Raw genomic sequence first — 10,657 nt, forward strand, 5'->3', positions numbered from 1 at the left:
CACTGGGGTCAGGGGCTCTCTTGAGGAGACATTTTGTCCCTTGGCAGAGCTGGTGCACTGTGCTGGGAGCATCTCCCTTGTCTACATCAGCCACTCTCTTCAGAGCTGGTAGGCAGGAAAGATTAAGTCAGCTGAAGCTGCAACTGCAGCTGTCCTTCCCCCGAGGTGCTCTGTCCCAGGGAGATGAGAGTTTCTGTAAGCCCCTGATTGGGCTTAGGAAATACAGTGTATTTCCTGCAGAGATGCCCTGTTCAGTGAGGAGGAATCTAGAGAAGCAGTCTGGCCACAGTTGCTTTGCCACACTGTGGTGAATTCCGCCCAATCCAAACCTCCCAATCTCCTTAGCACTGTCAGGGGAAAACCACCTACTAAAGCCTCAGTAATGGTGCATGCCTCTTCCCACACCAAGCTCCATCATCTCAGGTTGACTCCAGACTGCTTCTGACAGTGAGAATTTCAAGCCAGTGTTTCTCAGCTTGCTGGGCTTCATGGGAATGGGACCTACTGAGTAACACCGCTTGGCTCCCTGGCTTCAGCCCCCTTTCTAGGGCAATGGATGATTCCCCTGTATTGCTGAAGCTCCAGGCACTGCTGGAGTATGAAAAAACTCCTGCAGCTAGCTCAGTGCCTGCCAAAACAGTCACTCAGTTTTGTGCTTGAAACCCAGGGCCCTGGTGGTGTAGGCTCATGATGAAATCTCCTGATCCACAATTGCAAAAATCCTTGGGAAAAGCATAGTACCCAGAGTGGACAGCACGGTCCCTCAATGCTTCCCATGCCTGGGAGAGGGAGATCCCCCAGCTCTTTGTGCTTCCTGGGTGTAGTGATGCCTCACCCTGCTTCTGCTTGCTCTCCGTGGGTTGCACCTGCTACCTAACCAGTCCCAATGCGATGAACTGGGTACTGCAGTTGGAAATGAAGAAATTACCCACCTTCTGCATTGGTCTTGCTGGGAGCTGCAGACAGGAGCTATTTCTATTCAGCCTTCTTGGCCCCTCTTCCTAAATTCATATACTCTTTTTAAAAACTGGTTTTCTTAGATTAATATTTTCTGTTATATTTTCTACAGTAGTCTATGAGTTCTAAGTATTTTGTTCAGTTTTCTCATAGGTAAAAATGTAAAAATAACATGTCTGTCTGTACTGTTGTGAGAACAACCTGGTGGATAAACACTGTAAGTACTTGGTATTGTTATCTATGACACAGAGATGGTGAGAAAAAAAAAGTTCGGTGTTAATAAAGTAGCATTTTTAAAATTAAAGATAGAGATTAACAGAAGAAAAATATATGTATAATCAAATAATACAGACTATATGCTTTCCCAATCCTCAGGGAAACTAGAATACATTTTAAAAAAAGAAGTCATTTTCATTTAAAAATTAAAATGAGAAAAGTGGATGATAAAGCAAGGCAAAAAGGGTCATTCTTTATTTGTGACTGTTGATTATAAAAATAACCAAGAATCTGAAAAATAAAACTGTAGTTACTTCTTGTCTATGGAAGGGAATATAATGCTAATATAATAAGGAATTTTAAGCAGTTGCTTTCTCTAATCAAATCCAAGATCCCCATAATCATGTCCTTTGCTGTTATAAGTCTCCTAATTTTTTAGTCATCAAGAAGGGCCTGAAGATTACCTAATTTGTTGTGGAAACTCACTTAAAGATAATGGCAAGCTGTTGGTTTAATTAAAACATTTTTTCAGAAAATCTTTTGAACCTAGAGGAAGAATTACTACATAACTTTAACTCTGAAAATAACATTTTAACAAGGCAACTTAAATGCCTGATCTGAGATACACTTATTTTAATTATTAATTTCTATCTTTTCATTGCTGTGTAATGAAATAGATTTTTTTAGTATATTTGTATGAATTTTAACACATGTATAGATTCATGCACCCACCATAGTTAGGCTATGAAACAGGACCATCACCTCGAAAAACAAACTTTGCCATATCTTTATATTCATACCCTTCACTCACCCATAACCCCTGATGACCACTGACCTAGTCTCAATTCCTATAGCTCTAAAATTTTATTTTGTTTTCAAAGATAATATAAATGGAATCATACAGATAGAACCTTCTGAGATCAGCTTCTTTCACTCAGCATAACCCATTTGAGATTCATTCAAATTGTTGTATCTATCAAAAGTCTATCTATTTATTTTTTTTGAGACGGAGTCTCGCTCTGTCGCCCAGGCTGGAGTGCGGTGGCACTATCTCGGCTCACTGCAAGCTCCGCCTCCCGGGTTCACGCCATTCTCCTGCCTCAGCCTCCCGAGTAGCTGGGACTACAGGCGCCCGCCACCGCGCCCGGCTAATTTTTTTGTATTTTCAGTAGAGACGGGGTTTCACCGCGTTAGCCAGGATGGTCTCGATCTCCTGACCTCGTGATCCACCCGCCCCGGCCTCCCAAAGTGCTGGGATTACAGGCGTGAGCCACCGCGCCCAGCCAAAAGTCTATTTATTTTTATTGCTAAATAGTATTTCATTCCAAACCATTGTCTTTAGTATTCTATTTGCTTACTCATTATCCTCTCTGGGGATATTTGGGTTGTGATTCATTTTGGCAGCATGAATATGCTTCAGAATGTCATGTGGTTTTCCTGTGGGCATAAACTTACTTTTGGGCAAATACTGAAGAGTAGCATTTCTTGGTCATATTTAACATATGTAACTGTTTAACTTTATAAAAACTGCCAAAGTGTTTTTCAGGATGTGGAATTTTATATCCCAACCAGCAATGTCTGAGAATGTGAGCTGTTTTACACCCTCCTCAGTGCTTAGAATTGTCAGCATTATTTTTATCCATCCATGTAATTAAGCATGTAATAATATCTCATTAGGGCTTTTTTGCATGTAATAATATCTCATTAGGGTTGTTTCATTTGTTTCTTGTGTTTAATGTTTTATCTTTATAATGACTAATGATGTTGAACGCCTTTTCATGTGCTTATGTACCATACTTATATCCTCTGGTGAAACATTTGTCCATTTGTTTTGCTTATTTTTTAATCGAGTGGTTTGTTTTCTTATTGTTGAGTTGTGAGGGTCTGTTATCTATTCTTGATACATAACACTGTGGGACATGTTATTTGCAAATATTTTCTCCCATCTGCACCTTGCTTTTTTATTTACTCAATATCATCTTTCACAGAAGAAATATTTTCAGTTTATCAATCTCTAAGCCTGATGTACCAGTCTCTAAGAAATAAATCATACTTATGTTGGTATCTTAAGGACTAGTTACTTGAAACCATATCAGGGAACATCAACATACTATAAAACTGGGCCAAAGAGATTCAAGAGCCAGCTCCAGTGTCTGGTCTAAAGTAGGAGTCCCCAACCCCCAGGCCACAGGAACCAGGTGGCACAGCAGAAGGCTGAGTGACAGGCAAGTGAGCAAAACCTCATCTGTATTTACAGCTGCTCCTCATCCCTGGCATTACCAACTGAGCTTCACCTCCTGTCAGATCAGAGGCTGCATTAGATTCTCAGAGGAGCATGAAGCCTATCGTGAACTGTGCATGTGCAGGATCTAGGGTGTGTTTTCCTTATGAGAATCTAATCCCTGATGATCTGTCACTGACTCCTATTACCTCTGTCTAGATGGGACCGTCTAGTTGTAAAAACACAAGGTCAGGGCTCCCACTGATTCTACATTATTATGAGTTGTATAATTATTTGATTACATATTATAATGTAATAATAATAGAAATAAAATGCACAATCAATGTAATACACTTGAATCATCCCAAAACCATCCTCTCCCCACACCTTGGTCCATGGAAAAATATTCTTCCACAAAACGGGTCTCTGGTAACAAAAACAGTGGGAGACCTTTGGCGAAAAGGGTTAATGTTTCCTTTTAGAAATCACAGAGCTACTCTAGATATTTTCCACCCATAGGTAGCAGCCTAAGGGAAGTATGTCTGAGCAGTACAGCCACTCTACAGCTTTTTTTCCTACCCAAAGTGAGGTCAGAAGACCTAACAAAAACCATCCACATGAATCGTTAGTATATCTTTCCAGAAGTAGCTTCCTACATTCTATTTCATTTCTATTTGTTCTATCTCATTGCTTGATTTTTTTTTTTACTGGTTTGTTTGCTTGCTATTTTACAATTTGACCCTGCCTACTATCTCTTAGCTGATTCCTACCCAACTCCAGAATCTGCAGCCAACAGAAGATTTATCACTGAGACCAACCCAACCTAACTCAGAAAATGACCCCCAGACTTTAAACAGTTCCAGAAATATTGAATGGCACTTGGTTGGACTTAATGCTTCTAACTTTTAGCTCTTTCTGTTTTTTAAAATAACATTTTAATTTACATCTGAACGTAGAGATTCTCCATAACCTATATATCTATTGTTTCCTTTGGCTTGTTTTTTTTTGTTGTTGTTGTTATTTGTTTTCTTAACAAAAACATCTTAGAACTCTCATAGGAATTCTTTGGAATAAAGGTGAGTGCAAAATAATGTAGGCATAACGAAATAAATAAATGGTATGAAGTGGTATTTTCATATTATTTATCAATTTAAAACTGCCTTTACACGTGATATTTATTTTAAATATCTTACATAGTTTAAAATACAAATCTGTATTATACTGAAATCTGAACTACACAGATTTTAGTTGAAGCATATGAGTTTTCACTGATAAATTCAGAGATTTAATATTTAGCTCATATTTTGAATATATCTGCAGAAAATAAACTAAACTTAAAAATACCTTTCCTCACTAAAGGGAAGTAATTACATTTAAAGCTTTTTGAAAGCCATATTTATTTTCAGAAATGATTTTAAATATCTTAAGAAAAATGAAGGATTCTACGTGTAAGATTGAAATGTTTCATACTAACAAAGAATCTGTGTTTTAAAAATAAAAATAAAACAAAAAGTTCATATATATTTCTGTTAGACCATGGCTTCATATTAGTTAATGTGGATGAGAAAATTATCATATTGAAAATCTTATGAATACCCATTAATAAGTATCACCTTTTTCTATTCCAGATTTAGTGTATAATTCTTAAAACCCTGAAATGTTACAGATTTAATTTGACCGACAGAAGCAAAAGTAAGTGTGACACTTTCCAGCAAGGGTACGTCCATATTCGAAGAACAAAAGACATGGCTCTAAAAATATACAGTTCCAAGTGTTTTTAGCGACTTCCAATATTATAAATTAGTTTTTTAAAGTTAGAATATTTCGTTACATTTAACTGTTGCAATTATTATTATTAATTTCAAACAAACAACTTCTAATTTTAAACTCATAATTTTAGCAAATATTCTTAAATTATCATCTTTAGAACAGGGCAGCCCTATTTCCCAATGTGATAATACTTAACCTGTGAAACAAGAACCACCTGAATAGAAGAACTTATATTTCAGTCAGGTATTACAAGTGCCAACAGCATCACTGCAGCTGATGATTTCTCTAGTCTCCTATAGTTCCAACCAAATCTCTTGCCTTTCTTTCCTGCCTTTCTAACTCCAAACACATAATTTTATCTTAATTTATGATTCTTTTCTCTCTACTTGCAATTTTGACTTCCTGTGATTAGAGCCAATAATGCATCTCTCAATATCTCAAAAGGACATCTATATACTCCCTTATCAATATAACATAAGCATAAATAAACATTGTAATTAGCAAGCATTAATTTGTTGGAGGAACCCTACAAGCTCTATAATTTGTTGATAATATATACATGTGTTTAATGGGTTTATAATTTTATATTTATAAATGTGAAACCCTGTATGCTTTTAATATAATTATTAATGATCTGAATACATTGTCTATTCAGTAGTGAAAAACCTCTTTTTAAATATCTATCTTCATTCTAGGCTTTAATAGTTACATAGGACACTACTTTTGCTGACATTTAAATTAAAAAACCCACACATTTGGGAGAATTAGGCTTACAAATGCCAACTCGTATAATTATCAGAAAAGCCAATTTAGTAACCAGATTCATTTTAATACCTTTTTTTACATATTTTCATACAAGGAAAATGTCAATTCAAACTACTTGAAAACTGAAAAATGTTATGGCATTTTAACACCTGTATGTAAAAAAAAAAAAAAGAAAAAAAACCATAAATTGGCAAAGTAGGATAAGCCCAAATCATGCTCTTTTGTTATTCATTTGAAAAGAGTATCCGACTGCTTATATAACTGTAAGGATACCTTATAAATTTAATAAGCCATTGAGTTAACATGGGAAAAATAATCTTCTGTCAAGAAACTAAGAATATAAAATAGATTCTGGAAAGGTAAAAACACATCAGTTTGTGCTATTTACAAAACAAGATATAATATTTAAAAAAGTGACTAATTTAAGATAACCTATAGTAAAATATTATAGTCATGAGAACACTTTTTATTTTCTTATACTTGAAACGATATGCATACTATATATAGATTTAAGGAAGTATATATAGTAATTACAGAAAAACAACAAATTAATAACAGTCAAACATGTAACCATCACCCAGAAACAATTATTGTTAATATATTGTCATTGTCATCTTTGTTCCAAATGTTCCTATCTTATTTCTTATTCAACAAATATTCTTTGTGGCCCTCTTGATGTCCTGCATCACGCTAATGCAGACAAGCAAAGATTCCCTGCATTTAAGTTCTTGGTAGTCTTCTGGGGAATTCTGATATTAACAAATATGGAGTGACTATTAAGAAGTTAAAAGAGAAAAACAGGTAGATGGTGGTCTGGGAGCAAATCATAAAAAAATATGCAGGGGCATTGGCAGGCAAGGTTGTCCTCCAGCCATGACAGCTGAGGTAAGGCAGAGTCACTAAGTGGTAAACTATTAAGAGTGATGCCGTGAAATATGGAGAGTGTTCTTGACAGAGGGGCAAGTGTGGTATGAGTGGTGATGGGGTCACCTCCCAGCAACAGAGCTATCCAAAAAGTCTTTTGGGAGTCTATTTGACATGAAGATATACTAAAGAAAATGTATCAAAAAGGAGTTTTGGATTCAATGTTGGGCTTTTCAGACAGTACGATCAACCATTCTAATGAGCAATTGTTGCCCCACACACCTGCAAGACATAACCTAGCTGGGCAGAAATACACCAAAGGTAGGAGGTAGCTTGCAGAAACATCTGTCTGGGAACACTGGCTGGTGGTCAGTGGAGAATGTTGCTTGTTGTGCACCTCTGTCATGGGGTCATGTTTTTTTCGTTTTCTAGCCTAGCATATGAGCATCTCAAGACAAAAGATGGGACAGATAGTAAAGAGCATCTGGCCAAAAAGCCAGATGTTATAGTCTGAGTATTTGTGTCCCTCAAAAATTCATACATTAAAACTTAACTCCCAAAGTGATGGTATTAAGAACTGGGGCCGTTTGTGAGGTGATTAGGTCATGAGGCCTCCACCTTCATGAACTAGCTTAGCCCTTGTAAGAGGGCTTGAGGGAGGCTATTTGCTCTTTCTGTCTGTTCTGCCATGTGAGAACACAGCAACAAGTCACAATCTATGAAGCAGGGGGCTCTCACTAGATGCTGAATCTGCTGGTGTCTTGGTCTTGGACTCTTCAGCCTCCAGAACTGTGAGCAACACATTTCCATTGTTATGAATTACCCAGTCTAAGGTATTTTGTTACAGTAACTCCAGCTCACTAGGACACAAGGCTAATCAGGATGATGCCTTGAGTCCAGAGCACAGAGTACTGAAAGGAAGCCATCTCTCTGTAGCATGACAATGGATGATAATAGCATGCACTTTTAGGAAGCAATTAATGGAGAAGTAAGAAAGTGGCCATGTCAGAAAGAAGGAAGTGAGAGAAGCAATAGGAGCAAGAGTAGGCTCGAGGAGGAAAACAAGAGAGTCCTCAAGACATACAACGTGGAGGAGGGAGAAGCAAGAGAAGCAGGGGTTGCACTTTGGGACCTTAGTGGGGTCTCCTGGGGCCCCATTATCAAAACCCACAGCAATATTTGTTCACTTGATTCTCCCCAAGATGCAGAAAATGTAATTTGAAAAGCTGAAAAAGTTTGGAATTAGATTAGGTTTAGCCGAACAGCCTCACTGTCCTTTGAAACATGCTCAGTTCCTTCTGATTTATGAAATGGATAACAAGCTTCATGATCACCAAGAACATAGTAAATGTAAATAATGTCTAGAGGATCAAAAGCAAGATTTGTTGTTGCACATAACCCTCTTCTGATTGCCCTTGACTCTTTTCATATTCACCTTTTCCAAAGTTCTTCATTCATTCTTGTAGATTCATAATTCAATGTGGGATTATCACGTTTTAAAAAAAGCACTTTAGTTTTTTTTTTTTTTTTGTAAGGCAGTTCTTGCGACAGTTTTTTCAATATTGGCTTGCATAAAATGTCTTTTTTTTGTATTTTTGGGAAACATATCAAGTATAAAATTTTAGTTTGGTGTGTTTTGTCTGTGTTGTTGGTTTGCCTTTTAGCATTTTAATAATATCACACCATTACCTATGACATCTATTTTTTTGTATCAGCCATCATTTTTATTAGTGTATCTTTAACGTGTCTTTCTATTTTGAATGCTTTTAAGATTATTTTATTTATCTCTGCTTTTCAGTAGTTTTGCTATGATTTACTAAGGCATGATTTAACTTGTATTTATCCTACTTGGGGTTTGTGTTCCTTTTACTTTGTTTTTTGTTTTTTTCTTTTTTTCCCCGAGACGGAATCTCACTCTGTCGCCCAGGCTGGAGTGCAGTGGCGCGATCTTGGCTCACTGCAAGCTCTGCCTCCCGGGTTCATACCATTCTCCTGCCTCAGTCTCCCAAGTAGCTGGGACTAGAGGTGCCTGCCACCATGCCCGACTAATACATATATATATATATACACACACATATATATATGTATATATATATATATTGCATTTTTAGTAGAGATGGAGTTTCACCGTGTTAGCCAGGATGGTCTCGATCTCCTGACCTCATGATCTGTCCGCCTCAACCCTCGGCCTCCCAAAGTGCTGGGATTACAGGCGTGAGCCACCGTGCCTGGCCTGTGTTCCTTTTTCAATTTGTGAGTTAAGCTTTTTCATCAATTTGAGGAAATTCTCAGCTATGATTTCATATAGGAAAATTAAGGGAATAGAATGCCTGAGAGGCCAACTCACATATTAAAAAGTTATGTGTAACACACAGGTTTCATTTAAAGCCATCAGAAGGGTATGGCAGGCTGAATTATGGCTACTCAAAGATTTTCATTCTCTCATCCCCAGGACCTGTGAATATGTTATCTTACATGGCCAAAACGACGTTGCAGGTGTGCTGAAAGTCACAAGTCTTGAGATGGGAAAATTGTCCTGCATCATCCTGATGGATTACATCTAATCCCATCGGTCCTTAAAAGAGAAGAATCTTTCCCAGGGAGAAAGATATAATATGAGAAGGACTTGACCCTGTGTGTCTGGCTTTGAAGGTGGAGAAATGTAGTCATAAGCCAATCAACGCAGCTGTCTCTAGAAGCGGAAACTACCTTCAGTACAGAACCAGCAGGAAAACAGAAACCTTGGTCCTATAGCTGCAAAGAACAGAGCTCTACTAACCACAGCAGAGAGCAAAGAACAATTGCCTTAGAGCTTCCAGAAACAATGCAGCAGATCACCAATTTCCTTTTAGTCTGGCCAGTTGTGTATAAACCTTCTGACCTATAGTATAGACCTGTGAGATAATAAATATGTGCTGTTTTATACCACTAAGATTTTTGGCAATTTATTTTCAGAGCAGTATTAACACAGGGAAGAAAAGATGACTTAAATTATTTTGGGGAAATTGGCTACCAATGTAGAAAACAGTAAATAAAATTTTCTTCTGCCTCATAATGCACAAAAAAGTTGATTCTAAGTGGATTAAATGCTAAGTGTCAAAAAAACCACATTAAAACCTTTTGATGAAAATGTTTTTATAGAGAAAAATTTTAAAGGGCTACCTGTATGGTCAATACAATATTGAGATTTGCAATAAAATGTTAAAAAATGAATTGATATTTAATTCATGTAAGATCATAAATTAAAAACTTCTCGGCCGGGCGGGGTGGCTCATGCCTGTAATCTCAGCACTTTGGGAGGCCGAGGCGGGCGGATCACGAGGTCAGGAGATCGAAACCATCCTGGCTAACACGGTGAAACCCCGTCTCTACTAAAAATGCAAAAATAAAATTAGCCGGGTGTGGTGGCGGGAGCCTGCAGTCCCAGCTACTCTGGAGGCTGAGGCAGGAGAATGGCGTGAACCCGGGGGGCGGACCTTGCAGTGAGCCGAGATCACGCCATTGCACTTCAGCCTGGGCGACAGAGCGAGACTCCGTCTCAAAAAAACAAAAAACAAAAAACAAACAAACAAAAACATTATACTCTTGAAAGGAATTTGAGACAACGATAACACAAGTACTGTTGGAAAATGTATAAATTGTTACAATCACCTTGAAGATAAATTGCCAAAATGTAGTAATGTTAAAGATGTGTAAAATGAAAGATCACGCAAAAACACAACTAAGTATATTACCTGAAAAGTTTTTCACGTCAGTAAAAAGGGGCATCTATGATAATAACTATTTCAGTGCTTAGGAAACCAATTATTTTTATTTTGGTGCTTGTTTCTTCTAGCCAGAGTTTCCTCCATTCAGACAGTGGAT

The 10,657-nt window shown here is 37.4% G+C and overlaps 1 long non-coding RNA gene across 1 annotated transcript; it reads left to right on the forward strand.

Moving 5' to 3' along the window:
• Window positions 1-5,022: 5,022 nt before the first annotated feature.
• LOC124901177 (uncharacterized) lies at window positions 5,023-9,725 on the forward strand. The gene is made up of 2 exons (XR_007059128.1): window positions 5,023-5,086; window positions 9,246-9,725. It is a non-coding gene; the product is annotated as an uncharacterized LOC124901177 (long non-coding RNA).
• Window positions 9,726-10,657: the final 932 nt, after the last annotated feature.

This window comes from Homo sapiens, chromosome 5 (assembly GCF_000001405.40).
Source record: "Homo sapiens chromosome 5, GRCh38.p14 Primary Assembly".
NCBI classification, from domain to species: domain Eukaryota; kingdom Metazoa; phylum Chordata; class Mammalia; order Primates; family Hominidae; genus Homo; species Homo sapiens.